General features: G+C 48.8%; 1 protein-coding gene and 1 long non-coding RNA gene across 11 annotated transcripts in view, besides 1 other annotated feature; one reads left to right on the top strand and one right to left on the bottom strand.

Moving 5' to 3' along the window:
- SLC6A2 (solute carrier family 6 member 2) overlaps positions 1 to 15,612 on the bottom strand; it is a 50,205-nt gene extending 34,593 nt beyond the window's left edge. For 5 of the 10 annotated variants that reach the window (XM_006721263.2, XM_047434511.1, XM_047434510.1 and 2 more), the window contains exons 1-3: positions 15,248 to 15,346; positions 14,632 to 14,956; positions 1,904 to 2,035 (exon numbers count right to left, since the gene is read on the bottom strand). In XM_006721263.2, the coding sequence (XP_006721326.1) occupies positions 1,904 to 2,035; positions 14,632 to 14,905 (406 nt within the window). In that variant the 5' untranslated portion in view covers positions 14,906 to 14,956; positions 15,248 to 15,346. Of the gene's footprint in view, positions 1 to 663; positions 1,883 to 1,903; positions 2,036 to 14,631; positions 15,161 to 15,247; positions 15,347 to 15,430 lie in introns of those variants that run through there. The other 5 variants (NM_001172501.3, XM_011523295.3, NM_001043.3 and 2 more) reach the window with 4 other exon arrangements.
- Positions 14,825 to 15,360: an enhancer, noted in NCBI's record as "H3K4me1 hESC enhancer chr16:55690152-55690687 (GRCh37/hg19 assembly coordinates)". NCBI's record gives its function as "activates a minimal SCP1, AML or CMV promoter by ChIP-STARR-seq in naive H9 embryonic stem cells {active_cell/tissue: H9 hESC(naive)}" and the evidence as "EXISTENCE:reporter gene assay evidence [ECO:0000049][PMID:30033119]".
- LOC124903693 (uncharacterized) lies at positions 15,487 to 18,494 on the top strand. Its single transcript, XR_007065075.1, has 2 exons — positions 15,487 to 16,001; positions 17,661 to 18,494. It is a non-coding gene; the product is annotated as an uncharacterized LOC124903693 (long non-coding RNA).

Genomic DNA, 24,563 nt, shown 5'->3' with positions numbered 1-24,563 from the left:
CAGGAGGCGGAGCTCAGGCGGTCATGCGAGCGATGGGGAGCAGCTGTAAATACAGATGAAGCTTCACTTACCCGCTGCTCACCTCCTGCTGTGTGGCCCGGTTCCTAACAGGCCGGTTATTGGTCCGTGGCCCGGGGATTGAGGAAACGTGCTATAGCAGATTGCCAGAGTCCATAGGCCCCTGCCATCTCTTTGCCCGAGAGCTCTCTCTTTCCACTGGAGCTCCCCTGCCCACTCACCACCTGCTTGCCCCCAGTGGGCAGCCACGTTAGGAGCTGGATCGTGAGTATCCAGCTCCCTCGCCCCCTGGGCAGGATAACACTGACAGGTGTTCACATTCTCCCCTGATGGGACTGAGCTCCCTGCCCAGAGTGGCATTGACTTGGTGCACACCCTTTATGGCTGCCTCCCCTTCCCTATCCCCAGTTGCTGCTCCCTAAGGATCACTTCCCGCACTAACTCTTTACACTTATATCCTTGTCTCCGAACTGCTTCTGGGGAAACCCAAGCAAGCACTCCCTGATTGGAACTTCAGCCCTGTGTGCTTTCTGGGTCCTACTCTCAGCCACCTGCTTCGGGTGCCAGTATCGTGTTCCTCAATGTATCACAAGCTCCTTTAGGGGTAGTTCTATAGCTTTTTTCTAGGGTAGATGTATTGTTTACCTGCCCAACATTGCTTTTCAAGGAATTAGCCTTAAGCTATGATTAGCCTGTGAGGTGTTGGCGAGGCTACTCCCCACTCTTCCTCCATCGCAAGATGTATGCCTGGCCAATCAGAGCACTGCTTCCTGACAGCCACAGTGATTGGTTAGTAGATGGGCATATGACTCAAGTTAAACCAATGAGAATCTTCTCTGGGACCTTTAAGGAAACTATGACTCTATAAGGGTTTTTGTTTGTTTACTTGTTTGCTTTTGGTAAAATTTAAACTTGGTAAAATTTAAGCCCGGGGTTGCTGATGGCCATCTTTGCAGGTACTTGAGAAGAATTTACCTGAGACTGATGCTAACAGAAAACAACAGATCTGAAACACAAGAAGAGCGATAGATTCCAGACAACATTATTTGGGCATCTGGATCTATCTATACCTGAAGCCAATCCCCGGACTTTACTGTAACAGAAGTCAATTCTCTTTTATACTGAAGCCAGTTTGAGTTGAATTTCTGACAATTAACAACAAAAAAAGTAACGAATGCACATGTCTTATAAGACTCTTGCACCAGCTGTATCTCCCACAGGACTGAGTACACAAGAGGTACTCAGGAGGCACGTGCCAGCGGAGAAGAGGCTCATGGGAGTCACACTGGCCCTCGTTGCCATCTGTGCCCAGTTCTCCAACCAGTGCTTGGGAGAGACTAACTCTTCCTCCATGCCCTTCTCCCAGCTGTATAGGGGCCAAGAAATAGCAGTTGCTCTGCCTACTTTCTGCAGATGTGTTCTTAGTCCCAAATGCAAGTAGGCTTCATGTTATATTTCAGCTGCAATCAACTAGTTGTGGCTATTGTACTAAGGATTTTGAATCAGCTTTCCGGCTGGGCTCAAAAAGATCCATGATCAACTTCTAACGCCTGCCATGGGAGCAAAAGGAGAGAGTAGTGGTGTATGTGCTGGGTACTTCTGATACTTACGTAAAAATTTCCCATACAGGAAATAGATTCTCTGGGTACTCAGCAGGTAAGCTGGATTAGAACCCAGGTTTCCAGAATTTCTATGCTAATGCTATTCCCAACACACTGAATGCTCTCCACGTAACTTGGAATGGGGGACACTGTTGACCTTGTCAATACCTGTGAATCCCACATGACAGGAGGTCTACCTTAGATCTCACCACTGGAGCAGATTCCCCAAGGGCAACAGGGAAGCCTTTATGAACAACCGTGACTTTCTCCCACCCCTTCTTTACCTTTGAAGAATGGGCAGATTTTCCAAACGGTGGCAGCCCCCTCCCGGTTGTACTGTCCCAGAGCCAGCTCCATGTAGAACAGGGGCATCCCCGCGATGATAAGGAACAGTGTGTACGGGATCAAGAAGGCACCTGGAGGACACAGGGGCAGAGTGTGACCTGACAGACCCCTGCCCCTCCCAGTCTTGGATCCGTGTCTGCAAGAGCTGCAAAGATCCTGGGCGTCTGCTCAGCTGGCTGTTTCCAAAGGCGACGCGCAGCAATCAATACTAATTATCATAAGAGTAAGAATATTTGTGGTAGTAATAATCATAACCATAATAGTGAGGTTCTGTGGTCAAATTAGTAAAATCTAGGTTAAGCAAAGCAAAATAGGTTTGCTTCTTGCAGGCTTCTCCTAGCCTTTGATACACAAGTGCATGCTGTGATGTGCCAGGAGGGGGATCACAGGTGTAGCCTTTACCAGATTTATTTAAACACTGAACTTTTTCTTTTATGAATCATCACTCTGGGAATGCCAATCTAACCCAAACCCTTCCTTTTACAGGCAAGAAAATTGAAACCAGAGAAAAAGAGACAGTGCCTAAATTTACATGACGGAGTTTCTAATTTTGCTGGCATCCTATCACATAGGGGTATATGTGGCTTGCTTTCCCAAGCATGATCTCACTGGATTCTTCTTAGAGTTTCACAACAGCCTGCAAACATAATAACCAGTCAGGGTCATTACGTACCCCCAGGGCAAACTGAGGGGCAGAGAAGGGAGTCTAATGGCTCCTTTTGGTGCTGCTGGTAGGTGATGGAAGCCGGATTCACATTCCGGCCTTGTGACCCACTAGGTCCCCACTGTTACAGGTGGCTGAAGCAAAGGGGCAGAGGTTCAAGTCTCTGACCAGGGAAGTTACCCACCCAGAACATCACAGAAACTTCATGGGGTCCCTGGGCACCAGGCAGCAATTAATTCCTGGGAGAATTCCTGGTGGACTTAGACGTGTCTGAGTTGCAGAGACAATTCTCAGTACACCCTGGCAGTCCGGGATGTGCTTAGTGGATTCTGACTCTGCGAGGTGACTCACTGGGACACATGTCATATGAGCCCCAGCTTGCAAGTGTGCCCAAAGCAACACACCAGCTCCTTTCCACGCACAGCTGGAGGTGGCCAGGCCAGATCCAAACTCCTGTTACCACTGGCCTTTAGCTAAGGTGTTGTAACCCTGGAAACCAAATACTCTCTGACCTACCCACATCAAGAAAACAGGAAATACTTTAACAATGGTAACATTAGCAATATTAACAATGGATACCAGCAGCTCACACTTGCTCGTCCCCTTCTGAGCTCCAAGCACTTTCATTCAATCCTCACCACAAAGATCAAAGATCATTATTATTTCCATTTTACAGATATGGAAACTAAGGTTTCAAGATAGCAAAGAACTGTGGCAAAGTCACATGATACCTAGGGTCAAACTCACTCAGCTACTCAGACTATCAGTCTCCACTTGTTTCTCAGGGTGCCTCTCCTAAGTAGGAAGCATGAAGTGTTGGCCCTAATGCTGAGAGACCTAGTCCCTTGTGAGTAGAAGATGGATCAGTGGTGGGGGGCAGGGCAGAAAGGGGGAAAAGGTAAAACTACTGGGAAATGAACATCTCCTGTGTATCAAGCAGGACCTGGGCTTGATCCCACTTACACTACCCAGAAACCCTCTGACATAGCAACTGCTATACCCATTTTTCAGATGAGGAAACTGAGGGTTGGAGAAATTAAATGACCTGACCGACCTTATCCTGCTGATAAGTTGTGGATCTAGGATTTGGGTCCAGGTCTGCCTGGCTCAAGAGCTCCAGAGCTGTTTCCAACATGCCCCACAGATTCTGGAACATTCCAGCCTAGATGAAGGACATGAGTCTGAATAGGATCAGAGGGTAGGTTGTTCTGAAATGGGGGATCTGGGACCAGCTAAGCCATGTGGTCTATTGGTCATAGGCTGGCCCAATGCTACAGCCACTGCTCCAGGCTGGAAGTCTCTGGAGTGGCCATGTGCTATTTCTCCCCTTCCTCATTTCTTCCTTTCATTCTCTTCCTTTCTCCCTCTCCCACATAGAAAGGGCTGGTTTGCCACCTGACCCATGTCCCTATGCACATTGCTGACAGTAATGGTGGTGCTGGTGTGCTGATGTAGATGGAGGTAGGCAGTGGGGTTGCTGAAAGTAACAAGTACCGTTTGTTGAGCACCTGTTATATGCCAAGCTGCACACAAGTTTTTACATAATTATTTATTTAAAACCACCCCTGAGAGAGAATTACCACAATCCCTTTTACAGATGAGGAAACTGAGGCTTAGAAAGGTTAAGTTGCTTGTCCAACTAGCAAGTATGAAGCTTGGCTTCAAACCTGGATCTGGCGCAGCCCCACTCTGCCTTGTGGCCAACTGCTACTCCCCTTGAGGATCTAGAGCCAGGGCAAGGGGCAGTTAGATAGCTGTATTAAACTGTTTAATAGGGCCAGGCACAGTGGCTCATGCCTGTAGTCCCAGCATTTAGGGAGGCCAAGGCAGGAGGCTTACTTGAGCCCAGGAACTCAAGAACAGCCTGGGCATCAGAGTTTGAGGCTCAGTGAGCTATGATCATGCCACTGCCCTGCAGCCTGGGTGACAGAGTGAGATGCTGACTCAAAAAAAAAAAATTTAGAGAGAGAGAAAAAGAGAGAAGAAAACAAAACAAACAAATAAACAAAAAATCTTTGATAGGCCTGAAGATGGAAGTCAGTGGCCCAAGGGAACGTGGGGAAGGAAAAAGCTAGGAGTCGCTGCTCCGACCTCGCCACTGTGGGTTGCCCCCAGCGACTCAATACTCTGCTGCATGGCCAAGGAAGGGGAAAAGCAGCATCAGCCAGTTAACCAGGCATCTCACTTTGGCCAGTTTCCTCAACTCTAAACCTCTGGGTGACACTGCCAACACATAGGTAAACTGCCCAGTTTGGAGTTATTCTTCCTCTGCTGGCTGGGAGGCACAGTAACATGAGAAAAGGAGGGAAGATGATGGGTCTGCATGTGCCTGCGGCTCTTCTCTGTGAGTGCATTTGATGTGGGCCAGCCAAAGCTTCATTCAGGTGGAAACAGATTAAGAAGACCAAAGAGTGGTGAAATGGCTAAGTAGGAATGAAAAAACAGCCAGCTACCCGCGGCCAGTGCCTTATTCTAAAAGAGGACAGCTAGCTTGCCCAAGGACTCTTGCAGAAGGAAACCTGGGAGAGTTTCCTTCTCCTCTTGCAGAAGTAAACTCTTCAGGTTGAAGAGTCAGGAAGGAGCTCCAGGGATGAGTGAAGTCAACTGAAGTTGCCTCTTTTATAAACAGCTCTGCAGTGGTTCTCTGGAAACCGAGGCTGGTTGCAAACCCCCTAAAAAGTACTGCTCTGCAAGGCTTGTAACTGCCATACTTGTGTGGTCCTGCTCCATCTCCATGTGTGGCAGTGCCAGCTGCAACCAGCCTCACACAGGGTCCGAGAGTCTCAGAACTGCAAGGCCAGAATCTTATCTTGGAATGCCCTGGCTGCATGGGTGCTGGGCTGGTGAGGGCAGACCTGGAAAAACACAGGCAGGGCATGCCTCATGAGGAGCTCAGTGCCCAGTGCCTGGGAGTCTCCAAAAACCATATGCATGCACACAAATGCACACCTGTGCATACTCATGCAAAATGGACACACACTTTTGCATGTCAACGCACTCACACAACCACATGAGAAAAAGAACTGTCGACCATGAAAGAAACTCTGAACAGTGGCCTTTGGATGAATTTAGTAAGAAAAGCATTAGTCCCATCACCTCTGGCCCAACCACACTGCCTCCCATCCCACTGTTAGAGAGAAACTCTTCTGGGTACAGAAGGGCTCTGGAAGCCTCTGTGCAAATGCCAAGTACCCAGGAAGGGAAGCCCGGGGTCATTAGGTTTAGAGTGGGATGTGCTGGAGCAGCCCCCAGCAGGTGAGGAGGACCCCAGGTAGAGGGCTGGAAAGCCTGGAGGAAGGGTTCAGTGAGGGGTGCAGTGGCCAAGACCTGCTGAGGATCTCGGGGGAGGTGGAGGTAGTGTGGTCAAAGAGGAGCTTCAGGAAGGAGAGAGGCTCCCCTGACACCTAGTTTGTTGAGGACAGGATTCCTCGAACTGTGAATTCTGGCCACACCTTGATATATGCAAGAAGTGCCAATCCACAGAATAGTTCCCTTGATACACACAGCTCAGCTACAGGCTGTCGCTGCTGGTGTCATGCACCAGAGCCCCCAAGAAAACCTTGGTCCACACTTAGGGAAGCTAGATTTGTCCCCCTTCCCCAACACCCCAAGGGTGCCCTAACAGCACAGTAGGCATCAGGAGAAGGTGAAACTTTAGTCAGGAGACAAGGCTGCTCACACTTCGACACATTTAAAGGTGACAAATCAACAACTGTTAAATAAAACATGTTCTGTCTTCCTACTTTGACAAAGAGACCTTTGTAGTAGTTCTATTATAAAGTTCAAGGTTGGAATTCTCAGCTCTTGGAGCTCCAGGCTGGAATGTGGAGGTACAGGGGAAGACCCGTTTGCCCTGCCCCTACTTCCTCCCAGCTCAATCTAGCCATGTCAGGGCTCTTGCACATAGGTGTCCAAGCTATGTCCACCCGCCTTGCAGACACCCCCACCTCCCGCAGCACAGCCCACACCACAAAAGAGGGAACCCAGCAAGATGTTCATGTAGACCCAGAAGGGTGCCTGAGGCTGTTTGGGCAGGGAATTCCACCGTCCGGGTATTGGAGGGTGGTGGGGTATTCGTATGGGGAGTGTGCTGGGTGGGCAGGCACACTTGGCTCCCATGAGATGGAAAGGGGGCAGAGTTGTGCTCTCTGAAGCATGGAGGTAGGGCAGGCCTTCATGCCTGGACCTAAAGATAATCCTGTCCCTCAGCCCTGCTATGTGTAGCTATGTGACTTGTCTAAATGTGCCTTCTCTGAGCCTTAGCTCCCCCTTTGTAAATGCGATAATAATACCTGTGTCACTGGTTTGCTGTGATAATCAGAGATGACAGAGGTGAAGTGCCAGGCACTTAGTGGGTGCTCCGTAAATGGGACCCATGTCTTGTCATTATACTCAAGAGCAGATGTGCAGCAGCTCTGTCCACTGGAAACAGGAAGTAAAGGCTGTCTTGTGTGGTGGAGGGTGGCTGGGCCCTTTGTGGAGCACAGCATGAACGCCAGCTGGAGGCCACACACAGGACTCTGCGGCAGTGCTCTGGGATCCCCAAGTCCCTGTCCCAAGTGGGGCTGGCTACTCTACTCTTGTGTGCAAACAAGAGTGCTGACCATGAGCAAATGCAGGACAAAGGATGCCCCCAGGCCACAGCCAGCCCCATTACCTAGAAAGAATGCCCTGTAGTGCTGCATGAAGGATGGCATGAAGGTAGTGGGAGGGGGATGCATGCAGTGAAGAGATTTAGGGAATGGAAGCACCGGCCAGAGCGGGGGACAGGATACGCCAGGCCAAACCTTAGCTGACCCTAGAAGAGTTCTGAAGCTGAGATGGCCCCTCAGACATTTCCTACTCAGGAACCTCCACGTGTTTGCCTCTCCTGAAGCTCCTGAACCCTGTCCTCTTGGGCCTTCTATGGAGATGTCATTGGATAGGCATGTTTGGCCACCATGATTGAATGGAGTATGATGTAATACTAATAAGCTGAGTGGGAAAGCCCAGCAAGGCCTGTCTGTTCAGATTCTTCTCGGTCTCCCTGTGCAGCATTCCTTCCCCCAGGGCCTGGGGCAGGACTCCTTCTGAAATGGGGGTTTTATGACTCACAATTAGAAAGTGGGTCAGAGAATTTTGTTACTGCCAGCTCCAAGAAAGAAAAGCCAGGGAAAAATCCTACCTTGGAGAGATAAGGGAGCAGATGGAAGGAGGGCAGGAGAAGGTCAAAGAGAGAGAGGTTCTGTTTTCTGAGGCCTAACGTGCCCCAATGTTACAACAAGGGCTATTGGTATTTTGAGCCAGGAACAATAGAACAATAGATAGACAGATGGATAGATAGATAGACAGATAGGTTTCATAGTAGTACACAGAGCTATGGTAAGACCTCAGCTGGAGGGACCCAAGGTGAAGGTGAGGGAGTGCCTTGGTCTGTTTAGCATTGCTATAACAGAATACCTGAGGCTAGGGAATCTATAAAGAAAAGAGGTTTATATGTCTCATGATTCTGGTGACTGGAAAGTTCAAGGTTGGGCAGCTGTATCTGGTGGGGGCCTCTGGCTGCTTCCACTCATGGCAGAAAAGGAAAGGGGATCAGGGGTACAGAGATCACATGGCAAGAGGGGAACCAAGAGAGTGGCGTGAGAACTCACTTACCCTCTCCAAAGGACATTAATCCATTTATAAGGGATCCACTCTCATGACCCAAACACCTCTCACTAGGCCCCTCCTCCCAACACTCCCACACTGGGGTTCAAACTTCAACAGGAGTTTTAGTGGAGACAAACAAACCATATCTAAACCATAGCAGAAAATGTAATAAAGTGTTCCTCTGAGTTCTGTGAGCCACTCTAGCAAATTAATCAAACCCAAGCAAGGGGTGGGGGGAACCCTGATTTATAGACAGTGGGTCAGAAGCACAGTAAAACAACCTGGGGCTCATTATAGGAACACAAAGTGAGGGGCATTCTTGTGGGAATGCCTCAACCTGTGGGATCTGATGCTATCTCCAGGTAGACAGCACCAGAATTGAATTGAATCGGAGGCACTCAGCTGGTGTCTGCTGCAGACTTGATTACTTGCCTGATGTGCTGGGAGAAACCCCCAAACATGTGGTCACAGACGTCTTCTGTGTTGATTGTTGTTGTTGAGTGAAAGACCTGGAAACAGGCCCACTGAGGGAACACACCCACTCCCCTGATGGATTAAACCCAGCTGCTCTAAGTAGAAAAATGGGGGTGGAATTCAGGGAAACTGGCGCCGGGCTACCCCTCCTCATGTGGTAATTCTCCATCTGCTCGTCACTTTGGAGGATCTGGACTTGATTTTTCCTAATAAAGCTGTGGCTTTAGTAAAATCTCTGTGAAGATTCTGGTTTCCATTTCCTCCATCTTAGTCTCTTTAAGAGAAACACATCAGAGGGTTGCTCAGAACTACATCACAGAGGGAAATATGACCCACAAATAACAGAGCAGGACCTCACCTCCCCCATTTGGGATTAATACCTCCAATATTGGAATCAAAAATGACAAACTTTTAGGAGATCTGCAGCATATCATGAGCCCCTTAAAGGCAAGGATTTTCTTTTGCTCATCTCCATATTCCTGGCATATGATAGGCATTTAGTAAATTTTTTTTGGCTAAATAATGGATCTCAGCAGTGACTCACATGAAGGATGCAGCTAATGAAAGCCCTGGGGCCTTTCTCCACTTGTGCTGTGGCCTAATCCTTACTTAGGCAGTTAGGTTTGGGACTGCAGGGCAGGATATAACATTTATCCCTATTAAATCCCAATCTTGTCAGGAACAGCCCCTTTCAGATCCTTTTGACAAGCTTGGAGTAACAAGCCAAACCATGCCAGTGACCTCAGATCAGGGTCCCAGATGAGCACCACATTTCTGCCAAGGGATGTACAGACTTGTCAGCTGAGTGCCACACCAGCTGGCTGGCTCATTGTGCATCTGAGCTGACAATCAGTGTCTGGCTTGGCAAGCCCAGGGTGTAGATAGCCCCCTGCAGCCAGGCCAGATATAAGAGCACTGAGTTTGCAGACTCCTGACCTCTGTAGCAGCTACTGCTTCATACTCAGTATTAAGGATCCCAGATATTTTGGCCACAAGGGCTCCCAAAGGGCTGGGGGTCCCTAAGACTCTGAGCTTCCTTGGGGAGAGGAGAGAGTCCACTGGGGACGCAGAATCACAGAAGGTCATGGGACCCCATGCAGGAATTATAAACCCCATTTACCAGGTGATGAATCTATTTTGAGATAAGGTTAGGCTGTTAGGAAATGGAGCAAAGCCCATCCCCTGATTCCTGAGTCTATCATGCTTGGGCTCCAGACCCAAGTGGGACTATTTTCCAGCCTTATTTCCTTTTATCAATTTCATCTTAGGATGAATTCTGCTACTTCCAAAATCAGGATCCTGCCCCACTCCTAAGTCTAGCATGCAGTTAATATCATTGAACAATAACAAAATACTAATGACTACATTTATGGAGCCCCTATTATGTGACATCATTTCAAGGAGTTTACATATATTGTCTCTGATGCCATCTCACCCTGCAAGAAGGTGCTGTGGTTATTCTCCTCTTCTGTGTAAGGAAACTGAAGCTCAGATCAGCAAAGGTGAGTGATTTGTCTATCGTTACCTTTCTAGCAAAAGTTAGACTCAGACCCTGAACCTAAAGACTATATTTCTCTACAATGCACAGCTCTAAGCTGGCCTCAGGACAGGACTCAAACAGAAGCAGCCATGTGCAAAGGTTAATTCACAGTGGCCACTTCCCTGGAAGAAAGGCAAAAATGAGCACCCAGTCAATCTTCCTGCTCTTCCCCAGGGATCAGCACAGACCAGGATCACAGGTGCAAAGGGAAACTCTAGAATCACTGCCTGATACTGCCTCCTCATGGAGACCAGCTATTTGAGAAGGTTCTGAACAAAGCTCCGGAATTTCTGAGAGTGGCTTTCCCCTCCCAGAGCCTCCTGCAGCCCGTGCATCCCAGCAGCTGGCCATGGGGAAGATGTTCAGACAGGCTGATCTTTTCCAGTAATTCATTCAGAAAACATTAGCCAGGGGCCTAAACCATTGCCACCTTCATCATTTCAAAATATCCTCCATTCTGGGCCAGCATGAACAGTCAGAATTGCAGAGGTTACAGTGTTAATACTGGCACCAGAAGAGCACACTGAGGGCTGTTAAATAACAGACCGGGTGAGTCCTGGCTTCAGTGTAACCCTGAGCCAGGGCATTGGAAAGGAATAAATCTTGTGGTGTTATCTCAGGTCATGTTCACCTATGGCTGGGAACTTGAGGCTCAGAGAGGGGCTGTACTATGCCCGAGATCACACACTGAGAGGCAGAGCTCAGACTCAAACTCCAGTCTTAAACGGCTGCTTCTGCAACTGCAAAGACCCACCTTCCTGACCACTCACTCTCATCTCTGGGGCTAATTTGGGAATTACTGGATGAGAATTGATCCACAAAAAGACAGAGAAGCCAGGAGGCCTCCGCAGAGATAAAGCCCAGAGGGAGCTAGCTGAGCATGTCTGAAGGGATGAGGGGTAAGTGAGAGAAGGAGTTACCTCATAGTCTGAGATGGAGGGCTGCACTGCTCCCTAACACCAACTGTGAACATCCTAACCAGAAATGGAAATTCACTGGTATAATATCCCCACCCCTTAGCCTGGCTTTCAAGGCCTCTGCAGCCTGGCCCCAACTTGCCCCTGCACCCTTATCTCTCCTGGCTTGCCCTGCAGCCAGCCTGCACTCCTGTTCTCTGAGATGATTCCATGTACATTCCTGCCCCAGGTGCACAGCTGGAGATCTCCTCCCTTCTCACCGCTTGTCTGCACCTTCCCCATCCAGAGCAGCTGAGCTTCAACCACAGCCCACCTCCTCCCAGCCCTTCCTAAGCAGCCCTTCCTCAGGCCTTTAGAGCATTTGTCTAAAGCACTTGTCTCTCCATCCATTTCATACATCATCATAATGACATTAACAAAAATCAGCAGCCACCTTTCCTAAGGCCACAATCCATGCCAGGCTCTCCATGAGTTATTATGTTTGGTCCCCACAACAATGTTCTGAGCTGAGCACCATTATTTCCATTTGACAAGTGAGGAAACTGAGGCTTGGAGACTTGCCAAAGCCTTACAGCTAGAAACTGGAACCCAGGACTCCACAGCTAAGACCACTAATGAATAGGCTGCCCCTGCCCCACTGTTGTATGTGGCTTCACTTTATTAGTTACCACTGAGTGTTTCTGTTGTTGTTTCTGAATACGGTTGGAGGTCTTTGAGGGCTTGGAGCATTTCATTAGCTTATTCAACAGCAGTTTCTTGGGCACCTTCTACCACATTCCTGTGATCTAGGACTTATCTTGGGCATTAGAAACACAGAGATTAAAAAGTCACAGTCTCTGCCCTCATTGTGCCTTTTCCTGTTTGGGAGACAGACCCACAAAGAGACAAACCACCAAACAACTTGGAGTGAGCTGTGTTTTGAGATAGCAAGCCCGGGAGAAAGTGCCCTCGGTCAGCTTCACCTAAAGACTGGAACTCGTGACAAGTTTGCTCCATTTTGCATCCTAAGAACCTGGTTTATAGTACACTGCATACAACAGGTGCTCTTTATTTTGCTGGCAATGACTAAAGAGCACACAGTGTCAATGAAAGCCCTGGAATATCCATCTAGCTGACTTGTCAAATTGGCCATCTGGATGCTTTTAGTTTCAACAAACACATAGAGCAATGGGAAGAACTTCTAGCAGCATGACAATAAAGACTCGGGTGATTAAAGCTCCTGGCAGGCAGAAGTGGTGGTTCATGCCTCTTGGTGACCGTGACCCCTGCAGAGCCTAGCATTGTGCCTCACGCCAAGAGGAACCAGAAAAATATTACTGATTAATGACAGAGCCTTCCACTGTCTAGAGACAAGCAGTCTGGGGCGGTCACTGAGGACAGGCGGGATGGCGGGTCTTAAGGTCTCTCATTCATCATCTCCCTGCCTCTTAAAAGATACAGAGAATCTGCATTTTCTCCCTTCCTGGGCCCAAACAGCCATGCTTAAACCTGCCCAGTAACGCTTGAGAGGCTGCAGCCGCCAAAGGTGGGAAAGTTTCACCTCTGGATTAGCTTCTCCTTTTCTCACCTTTCTCTCTCTGCCCATGACCATCCCAGGGCCAGACACAAACATTGAGCCCGCAGAGTCACAAGTTGTTTCCCCACGGATCAGGCCCCAGACCTCAGATGCCCCTGAAGCTCAGGACTGCTGTTCCAGCTATCTGGTCTCAGAGTATCTGACAATGACAGACCCATCTCAGGAGGTGTCAGGGAGACCATGGACGCAAACCTCCATCTGTCAGCTCCAACCTTGGGTTAACTTTCTCGTTGGAAGAGCTAACTGCTTTCTTACTCAAGATCCTCTGCTCAGAGCCACCTGTGCTCTATGGTGATCCCACTCCTTTTTTTTTTGAGACAGAGTCTTGCTCTGTCACCCATGGTCCAGGCTGGAGTGCAGTGGCGTGATCTTGGCTCACTGCAACCTCCACATCCCGGGTTCAAGTGATTCTCCTGCCTCAGCCTCCTGCGTAGCTGGGATTACAGGCGTGCACCACTACGCCCAGCTAAGTTTTTGTATTTTTAGTAGAGACGAGGTCTCACCATGTTGCCCAGGCTGGTCTCGAACTCCTGAGCTCAGGCAATCTGCCCACTTTGTCCTTCCAAAGTGCTAGGATTATAGGCATGAGCCACCATGCCCGGCCCCACTCCTTTTTTGCAAACACCAAGTATTGCCCGTCCCAAAGCAAGTGTCCAGAGTACACATAGAAGCAGAGTTGTAAGTCCTAGAGCCTGTGAACAGGTCATGAGCTTTCCCTCTACCCAGCTCCAAATTCTTGCCCTTCCTCCCTCTGACCTCCCTTAAGTCCAGAGTCACAGCTACCGCCAAGCAATGCAGCCCAGTGGAGAGAGAGAGGCTTTCAGAGCTGGGTCCCCCTTCTCCAATTTCTTCCTCAAAAGGTCTATTTTCCCACACTCTTTGCAGGGTACCTCTGAGCTCATCCCAGCAAAAGTGGCAGGAGCAAAGCCCCTCAGGAAGGAGCTAGGGGGTGGGGGCCAGCACCCTGACTTCCAGACCGCTTCCCTGGCCCGGGGTTCTATGTTATTCTTCCTGGATTGGCTGTAGGTGATCTCTAGGCTCTCATTTTCAGGCAGGTGGCCAGTTGGACCATCCAGCAGAAGGGGGAGAGAGTGTGGCTGTTCCACTGGAGTCTTCTTCAGGCCCCTCTCCCACTCCTCCCTGCAATGCGGCTAGAACTTGAGGAGGTAGAGGTTTCACCCCAATCATCTGGGCCTCCTGCCTTGAGGACCAGGCCAGTTCTTGGCACCTACTGGCCTGATTCCACCTGGGCTGTGCTCCCTGAGAATGGCATTATTTCTGATACTGGCTTCTTCTTGTGTGTTTCTATCCCCAAGACCACAGGGCCTCCCCAGGTGCCTTCAGAAAACCGAAGTATTCCCACTGCTTCTGGCCCAAAGGTTCCTGCCCCCAGGCTCAGAGTGCTAGATTTAGGGTCACTGTGGGCCTGGTTGTCAAATCCCACCCACTTCTGGTGCCCCTTCAAGAGCTCTTGGAATCTCCACCTCCCTTCCAGCAGACCATCAAAAGGTCAGGCTCCCCCACCCAACCTGGCACCCCAGATTCTGTCCTTTCCATCCATACCCCTACCATGACTTTAGGGTCATGACTCGATTTCACTCTTCTGCTGTTTTGCTTCCAGGGTGCCCAATCCTGACACTTCCGCTGGAATGAGCTCGAGGTACTCTGCAAAGAGCCTGGGAAAATGACCTTCCAGAGGACTCCAATCTTTTTTTTTCCCGTTAGCCCTGTCCAGTTCTTTCTGCGCCCCAGATTTGCCCCTGTCTCCTCGCCTCCCTTCCGTGTGTATTCCAGCTCCTGTCCCAGCCACCGCTGCAGACAGTGGACCTCCCAGATTCAAATTCCCAGCCCGACCCCACGCTCACCGCCGCCGTTCTTGTAGCAGAGGTAGGGGAAGCGCCACACGTTGGCCAGGTCCACTGCGAAGCCGACTACGGACAGCAGGAAGTCGATCTTCTTGCCCCAGGTCTCCCGGGGCTGCGCGTCGCCGTCGCGGGGCGCCAGCAGGCACTGGACGCCGTTGCGCTCCTTCACCACCAGCAGCTCCGCAGTTTTGCGCGCCCGAAGGGGCTGCTCTGGACCCGTGTCCGCCCCGTTGTTCTCGGGCTGCACCTGCGGGTTCATCCGCGCCAGAAGCATGGATGCGGCTGGCGAGAGGAACTTTACCGGTCCTGGGGGCACGCCGAGGCTCTGCTTGGATAAAGGGAAAAGAGGTGGTTACCCGGCCGTTCCTCCCTACTTGCAACTCCCAAGACCACCCGGGAGCGCCTTAGACACTGGGATGAGCGCGCGCTGAGCGGACGCAGGGTTCCCAGAAAAGGGCGCGCGTCCGCTGGAAAAATTTGGAAACAGAGGTTGGGGCACGCCGGAACTCAAGAGTTGGAGACTTCTGACAGCCCTCTGGGGGCGGCTGAAGACCCTGCAGCACTTTTCCTCGTTCACCCACTCTCGCCTGCCCCAAATGGCTGGGATTGAACTCACCGAGGCTGAGGGCAGCGTGCCGACCCCCTCCCCAGCTCAGGTCCGCGACACTTCAACAGCCACAGGAGCCTTCTCGGACACTTAACGTCACTGCACTACAAACTCGCTAGCCCTCTGCTGGCGCGTCTCGGCCCGGGCCTCCCAGGCAGACCTAGCCCTGTCCCGCGCTCAGGGCGCACTCACGTGTCCGGCGGCGAGGGGATCCCTGGTGCCTTGCGCCCTGCCGGCCCCCGACCGGCGGCGCCTTGGCAGGCTCTAGGGCGCGGGCTGGGGCTGGGCTCCGCCGTGTGGCGTTCGGGCGGGGCCGGGGAAGAGCTGGAGGCGCGGGGCGGCCGGCAGGGCGCGGGCTGACTGGTTCTGGCCGTGCCTGGCGGGGGCCGGGCTGGTAATGTAGCCTGCGCCCCAGGTAACGCGCCGATTGCATTAACCCAGCGCCCGGCCCGCTCCGTCTGGAGCCTGTTAGCGCTAATGGAGACTGACAGCGCGGCCGGGGATGGGCAGGGGCGGGAGGGTGGCGCGGGTTCCCAGGGATCTGGGGGACTCGGGCGCGCACTCCCTTTCTATCCTGCGCCGAGCACCGCTCGCCGCTCCCAAGGACACCAGGCCTCTGATCTCCCACCACGGGGAGCGAGTGACAGACTCTCCAGAACTGGGGTCTGCGTCGCGTCAGAAAGGAGGCCAAAAAAGGACTGGGGAAGCAGCGACCGGTGCAGCACCAGCTCTGTCTTCCGCAGCAGGCCACTTAAACTATCTGGTCAGTTTCTTTATCAACGAAATGGGAATGTGCGGCTCAGGGCCCAGTGCTGCAAATAGGCGGCCAGCGGGCTGTTGGGCAGTTTTGTTTGAGCGGCTTAGCATGTTGACAGGTCACAGCCCAGCACTTACTCCTGCATCTCTGTTATTTATGGGCAGGGTAGCAGGTCATTTGAGGTTGTGACCCGTGTTCTGTGAGGCTGAGAACTACTATTTATTCTTTCAATTATTCATTCATTCACACCTTCACACATTTGTTCTTCCATATGCCCGCTGTGTGCCAGGCACTGTTCCGGGCTCTTGGATTACACTGGCGCAACATAACTCGGAGATTCCTGACCTCATGGAGTTTACATTCTGCTGGCGGAGACAGAGGAAACGGGAAACATAATAAATACACACGTTATATGATGGGTGAGGGAATGGGGGGACAGTGGGGCTGCAGTTTGCATACGGGGTCAGGGAATTTGAGAAGGTAACAATTAGACAAGTAAAGGAGTGAGCCATTTGGACCTGAGAGTCGTTTTCTCATTCATTCACTCATCTATTGATTAATGTATTAATCCCTTTAGCAGATGCTGATCATCTGCTGTGTGCGTGAACAGTGCTGGCTAGAGAGGAGATAGCCCCTGCCTTCAAGGAGCTCCCAGACCAGTGTATAGAGTCTATCACAACCCAGTGTGGTCAGGATGTGTTGTGACCACAGATGTGTGGAAGTAGGGTGGAGCTGAATCAGCAAGGGAAGCATCCTGTTGATCCAAGGAGGCTTCAGAGAGGTGGCCGTGCTAAGTGGGTTGGGTGGGGCTTGGATCAGCCCAGCCACACTGACCTTTCCATTCTGTAAACATCCTAAGCTCAAACCCACCCCAAGACCTTTACACTTGCTGTTTTCTCTGCCTGAGTTGTTCAGGTCTCAGTCCAGAGGTCCCTTCCCGACGACTCAAATCGAAAATACACGCTCACTCTATCCTATCACCCTATTTATTCATTTGTTACATCGCTATCCGAATTTGTCCTAGTTGTTTAACTTTATGTCCCCCCTTGGGTGGTATGTGAGCTCCATGAGCACAGGGACCTTGTCTGTCTTTTACAGCACGTGTTCTGGCACCTGGAACGTACTAGAGCATCAACCAGCCTATGAAGTGAATGAGTTAATGAATGAAAGAATGGTGGTGTGTGGCGGTGTTTAGAGCATCTGTACCAGAGGGACAATCGTGACAAATGTCCTCTGGGCAGGATGCAGAGGGGAGAGGAAGGGAAACCTAGAGGGGTATGGGTTCCCCTGGCTTCTGGGGAAGATGACAGAAGGCAGGTGAGGGAAAAGATTGAGCAGAGGTTTGAGGACAAGAGCTCAGAACTGTAGGTTTCCACACATGAAAGGTGTTTATCTCCTTTGATCTATTGGACGATCATGACAATCCTGTAAGGAAAGCAGGAAGAGAATCATCTTTCCACGTATCAGGTCAGGAAACTGTGGCTCTGTGGACTAAAGGGACTTGTCCAAGGTCCCACAGATTGGAAGTCACAGAGTGGAAATGAGAACCCAAGTCTCCTGGCCTCCAGCCTCTGCTCCCTCCACCAAGTCATGGTGGAGACACTCAGAATCTCTCTAGTAGTCATGGTCCCCTTCTCTCCTCTACCCCACACCCCATCCAACTAGTTTTCAAGTGCTGAGAATCCCACCTCTGAAACACCCTGCAAAGCCACAACAGAGGACCCTCATCACCCCTCACTGCAGCAGCCTCCTAGCTGGTCACCCCACGTTCAGTATCTTTCCAGCTGCATGATCGTCACCAGCTGCCAGAGCTCTACCTAGAACTCAAGTGCGACCACCTCACTCCTCTGCCTGAAACTCCTCTGAAACACACCAACACATAAATGTGATTTAATTAACTCTGGATTTGAGGTAATTTTATTTTCTTCTCTATACTTCTCTGTATATGCCAACTTTTCCACAATGAGCATTTGATATTTATGCAATCAGAAAAAGATAACCCACAATTTTAAAAAATCCTCCAACCTTTCCAAGATAATGCCTAAACACTTTGAGGAGTATAGACAAGACTCTGGCTATTTAACCACACCTCCTGCTATTCTAATTCTCTCCTCATTTTTCCTACAAATCCTTTATCACTTCCAAAATATGCTTTATTCTCCAGTAGTATGAGAGATACTAAACTACTAGTGGTTCCCTGAGTACCTTGTGCTTTTTTACACTTCTGGGTTTTTTAATATGCTGTTTCCATCATTCTTTTTTCTACCTGGAGAACTCCTACCCATCCTCCAAAACCTCCAGTCACCCTCACTGTGAAGCCTTCCCTGATAACCACCTCCTACAACAGAGTCAAACTCCTCTTTTATACTGCTGTTTATTTGCCTGTACAGTTATTTGTGAGACCTCCCTACCAGCGTCAAAGACAGTGCGTGATGTATTCTGTTACTTAAATGGTGCTCCAGAAACATGTACAATACAGAACCAGAAGAGTTCTCTTTCTTTTGTTGGGTTTGGTGTCTTTGATTGGTTTCGTTTTGTATTGGATTCCTCAAGAAACAACTGGAAACAAAGATTAGAATACAAGTAATTTATTTAGGAGATAATCCTGGAAGCAATCGTTGGGGAGAGGAGAAGTGAGACAGCAAAGGGAAGGAAACCAGGAGAAAGTAGATTAAGGAGCACTTGCTGCTGGGGAAACAGGTGCTCAGCCCTGGTGGGGGCCTCGGGAGACTGCACAGAGCACGCCTTGGGGTTGTCTCACTTGAGGGGCAAGAAAACTAGAGTATTTATCCATGAAGGCCGCCCCCAGAGTGTCAACTTCCCAGCAAGTCCAGCCTGTCTGATAAGAGGGATGAGCCTGTCCTGCTGCCAGAGAAAGGCTAACAGCAGAGCCCCAGGTACTGGCAGCAGGAAGCCATTGGGTTGGGTCTGCACTGGCAGGAACAGTGGATGATAAGGGGTGTGGGCATGGAGCTGGAAGTGTTTGCTACAAGGGTGGAGGGAGGCATTTCCTCCTAATGCGCACGCCATCACGGGGGCCAATCAGCAAGTCTGGGAGCTCCATCTGTGGTTTCAGAGACTACCGGGGGTCAGCAGTGAGGACACTAGGCTGGGACTGGGCTAAAAGGGAAGGCGTCTCTCTCCATCTCTCGCCCAGACTCACCGCCATGGGGCCATGTGGCTTCTCTGGGAGCCCTTCTTCCTGCCCAGCCAGGTGGCCTGAGGGCAAGTTGTGCATGGGAGGCTGGAGCATTATCAGAGCTAATGTGATCTCTGGGGAGCCATCACTTCCACTTACCATGGCACTTGGTGACACAGGCCATGGGGTAAAAGGCAATGGCTGATGCTGTGAGTCCATCTCTGGCCATCTCCCCACAGACACTGGGGCCCTGACACACAACAGCTGGGCTGGGACACATTTAGAATCCAAGGGCCTGTGTCCGCTGAGGACGCTATCAGAACCTACACCTCCATGGCACCAATGAGGAGACTAAGGAAAAAAAGGAGGAGAGGTTTGCCTACATATTTGTTTCCTCCATCCCTCTTTTCTTTCCTTCCTTCCTTCCTTCTTTCTTTTCTTTCTCTTTCTCTTTTCTTTCTTCCTTTTTTTCTTTCTCCTTTCCTCCCTTTCTTTCTCTCTCCTTTCCTACCTTCCTTCCTTTGCTTCTTTCCCTCCCTCACTTCTTTCCTTCCTCTTCCTCCCTCCCTCCCTCCCTTCCTTCCTTCTTTCTTTTCTTTTCTTTTTTCTTTCTTTCTTTTTCTTTCTCTTTTCTTTCCTTTCTTCCTTTTTTCTTTCTCCCTTAGTCCCTTTCTTTCTCTCTCCTTTCCCACCTTCCTTCCATCCTTTCCTTCTTTCTCTCCCTGATTTCTTTCCTTCCTCTTTTTTCCCTCCCTCCCTCCCTTCCTTCCTTCCTTCTTCCTTTTCATTCTGTCTTTCTGTCTTGATCAGGGGACAATAGGCATATATTACACTGCAGCTGACCTGCCCTGAATTCATTCATCATTGGCATAAGTTGTGCTGGATTTACGAATAGCATAAGACCTCCATGAACTGAAATCCGCCTCCTTCAGGACACCACCCACTAAAGTGCCCTTGGGATACCTGAGACTTCCGATCTGTGCGGTGTGGCTCAGTCCTTAGATTTTTCTCTTAATTCCTAGCCCAGCTGACCATATTCAGGCACTGGCATTAAAGAGCATCTGTTGCCTGCTGACTTCACATTCACATCCTCTCCCTGGGCTGCTCCCCTGAACTTCATGTGCCTTTATCAAACTGCAGACTGGACATCACTACCTGGATAATCAAAGGCACCTGGAAGTCACTATGTCCAAAGTAAGATCCTTGGCCTCCCCTTCCTGACCCACACCACACCTGCTTCCCCACAGTCTCCCTACCAAGGTGATGGCATCTTCTTCCTTCTAGTTCCTTGGGCCACAAACCTTGGAGTCAGCCTGGACTCCTCTTTCTCTTGACCATCATCCAATCCTACTGCAAATGACTGGTTCCAAATCACATCACACCTCCCCACCTCATGGTGGTGTCCCTGTTCCAAGCCATGTCACCTCTTGCCTGGATTAATGTCATAGCCTCCGAATGGGCTTCCTGACTTCTCCCCTTATTCCATGAAGTTTAAGTTCCACATAGCAGCTAGAAACACCTTTTGGAAACAAGTTCAGAGCCTATCACTGTCTCTCCCCAATGGCTTTTATCTCCTTCAGAATAAAATCCGAAGTCTAATCTCAGCACTTTGGAAGGCTGAGGTGGGAGGAGTGCTTGAACCCAGGTGTTCGAAACCAGCCTGGGCAACATAGTGAGACCCTGTCTCTACAAAATTTTTTTAAAAAATATTAGCCGAGGATGGTGGGGTGCACCTGTAGTCCCAGCTACTCAGGAGGGTGAGGTGGGAGGATTGCTTGAATCCAGGAGGTGGAGGCTGCAGTGGGCTGTGGTCATGCTACTGTACTCCAGCCTAAGTGACAGAGTGAGACCTTGTCTCAAAAGCAAACAAAACCCAAAGTCCTTCCGTGGGTGACAGGGATGAATGGATAAATGCATTCTTTGGTGGACTTGCCAATGCAAGCCCAGCTGAGCCCTGCAGTCCCCATGGGAAGCCAGATCTGACAGAGACAGAGGTGTTGGGGGAGAAGAGAATAGGAGTGACCAGTGGCATGGCAGAAAAGCACTGGGCTGTGAGACAGCACCATGGGTCCTGACTCAGGCTTTGCTGTTCTCAGGCTGTGCAGTAATGGCCAAGTCCATTAGCAATATGCAGGTGGACCATAGAAAGAAGAAAGAGGCAGAGCACATGTCGAAGAGCCAGGGAAGGAGAAAGGGAAGGAGGTGCCCAGGGCAAAGGGACTCAGTCTCCCAGGAGAAAAAGAGGAACTTGCCCTCCCCTACACGAGACCCCAGATACATCCTTTGGCCTTAAGATAGTCATGTGAGTTATGGAGGGAGAAGACTCACAGCTGGTTTAGGTTCCTCTCTAAGACAGAGGGAGGTTTGGCCAGTTGACCGGGCTGCCAGCCTGCACAGGGGCTCTATCCACCCGAGAATATCTGGACAGAATCTCAGAAACCTTACATCCAGTTGTCACTCTGTTAGAACACCAGGTATTCCTTAGATAATCTGATGAGACATGGAATTTCCTCCCAGAAATATGCGCACACACACACACACAGCATTTTAAAATTTAGTGTGAAATTTCTCGTACTTAAGAAAAAAGTGTACACAGTACATCTTTCCATGTATTTGTCTTCTTTAATGTACACAGCATTTTAAATAGAGTTTGGGGCAGATTTGCAAATCCTGCATGAAATTCATCTCGGAATCTCTTAAAATAAAACATGTATTATCTTTTTCACAGTTCAAATAATAATAATAATATGAACGTACAAGAACCCACCTACCCTTCCGGGTTAAGAAATAGAATATCCCATACCTGACAAGCCCACATGCACCCCACGCCCCCTAAGCACATTCACCCCTGTTCCCTGCTCTAAAATAAACACTATCCTGAGTTTGGCAAACACCACTTCTTTGTTTTTTCTTTATAATATTACTATCTATGAATATATTTCTAAACAATACATTGTTAGTTTATTCTTCTTCAAATTTTATGTAAAAGGAATCACACTACAGATATTGTTCTGTGACTTATTTGGCCCAATATGTTTCTGAGATTCATCCTTGCTGATGGGGTTGGCTGCAGTTCACTTGTTTTCAGTGTTGTTTATAGTAATTCTATTGTATGAATAATAACAATTTATTTATTCATCCAACTGTGAAGGACATTTGGATTGTTTCCAGTTTTTTTTTCTTTTTGGATTTTGAACAATGCTGTCTATAAACGCTTTAGGATGTCACCTACACAAATGTGCAAGAGTTTTCCTAGGGTTTATTCTTAGGAGTGAATTGCTGGTTTGTAGAGTATGTATTTATTTAGCTTTATCAAGCAATGCCAAACCATTCTCTAAAGTGTTTGTACCAATTGAAACTCCCTCTAGCACCGTGTCAGTTCTTCACATCTAATTTCTCCACATCCTCCCTAACCCTTGGTATTACCTAGGCTTTTAACTTTTGCCAAACTTTTGGGTGTGAAATGGTATCTCACTGTAGTTTTCATTTGCACCTCCCTGACTTCTAATGATGTTCAACATCTTCTCACAAATACATATGGGTCATTTGTGTTTCTTTTTCTTCTATGAGATGATGATACATATTGTTTGAGCAATTTTCTATTGGCTTATTAATGTTTTTCTTATTAATTCACAGTACTTAATAATATATCCTGGGTACTAATCTTTGAAATGTTGCCAACATCTTTTCTTGGCTGCATTGTAAATCTTTTTGCTCTGTTGGGTGACTTTGGTAAGTAGAGGTTATTAGCTTCAATGTAATTTAATGTAGCAATTTTTTCTTTTGGTTTCTATATTTATGTCTGGTTTAAGAAATCTGTCCCTAGCTGATATTTTCCAAAGTTATATTTTAAAATTTGACAGTTTTGTCCTTCATATTGATGTCCACCTGGAGTTGATTTTTGTATAAGGTATGAGGTAGGGATTCCACTTCATTATTTTTCATTTGAATAACAGATAACAAATTGTCCTGCCCCAGTCCTTAAGTAGTTACACCTTCTCTGCTCTAATCATCAGAGAATTCTCTATCATAAACCAAGTTTCCTTGTACAGTTGGGTTTTTTTCTGGACTCTCTCTTCTGTTCTGTTGGTCTATTTATCTGTGCCCAAGAATTACCACACAGTCTTAATTAACATTGTTTTATAATACACTTTCCTATCTGGTGGAGCAAGATTCTCGAGCTCCTTTTCTTTGGAAATATCTTGGCCATGCTCTTCCCTACAAATTTCTGAACCATCTTGCAGCGTTCCATGAAAAACACCACTGGAATTTCAATTGTTATTGCATTAAATCTACAGATCAATTTGAGGGAGAACTGACATCATCACAGTGTTTAGTCTTCCCATCCAAGAACACAGTACATGTTTCCATGTATTTGTCTTCTCTAATGTACACAGCATTTTAAATAGAGTTTGGGGAGAATTTGCAAACTCCTGCATGAAATCCATCTCAGAGTCTCTTAAAATGATTGCCCTCTAGTGTCTGAGCTCTTTTCTTTTTGCTCAGAAAACACTTTCCAATGGCTTCACCAGGAATATATTTGGACCAAAGTGATTCTTACAGCTATCTTCCCACTTCTTTCTTACTTGTCTCACTGGCCTTCTGATGTCTATTCTTGGGAAACAGCAAATTAAGCTTTTGTGGAGCCTGGAGAGGCAGAATGGTATCCAGGCTAAAAGCATGAACTTAGGAGCCACTAACCTGAATTTTAATCCTGACTCCACTGTGGACTATCTGTGAAATCCTGGCCAAGTTCCCCTACTTCTCTGTGTCTCAGTTTCTTTTCCTTCTTTCTTTCCTTCCTTCCTTCCTTCTCTTTCTTTTTTCTTTCTTTCTCTCTCTCTCCTTTCTCTCTTTCCTTTATTTCTTTCTCTTTTTTCTTTCTCTCTCTGTCTCCCTCCCTCCCTCCGTTTCTTCTTCTTCCTTTCTCTCTCTCTCGTTCTTTCTCTCTCTCTTTCTTTCTTTTTCTTTCTCTCTCTCTCCCTCCCTCTACCCTACCTTCTCTCTCCCTCTCTCTCTCGCTCCGTCTTCCCTCCTTCCCTCCTTCCCTCCCTCCCTCCCTTCCCTCCCTCCCTCACTTCCTCCTTCCTTCCTTCCTTCCTTCCTTCCTTCTTTCCTTTTTTCCTTCTTTCCTTCCTTTTGGTATAGATGGGGTCTTGTTATATTGCCCAGGCTGGTCTCATACTCCTGGGTTCAAGCAATCCACCCATCTCAGCCTCTTGAAATGCTTGGATTACTGGCATGAGCCACCAGACCTGGCCTCAGTTTCTTCATCTGTGAAATGGATAAGATGATGAGGAGGATAAGGGCACTTAGCTCATAGAATTGCTGAGAGAATTGAATGAGTAAATACATGTAAAGCACCTAGACAATGCCTGGTATCACATACATGTTACTTCTTATTGTTGTCGTTATCAAAACATTTAATT

Source organism: Homo sapiens, chromosome 16, assembly GCF_000001405.40.
Source record: "Homo sapiens chromosome 16, GRCh38.p14 Primary Assembly".
NCBI classification, from domain to species: domain Eukaryota; kingdom Metazoa; phylum Chordata; class Mammalia; order Primates; family Hominidae; genus Homo; species Homo sapiens.
This window is presented reverse-complemented; position numbering and strand designations above follow the sequence as displayed.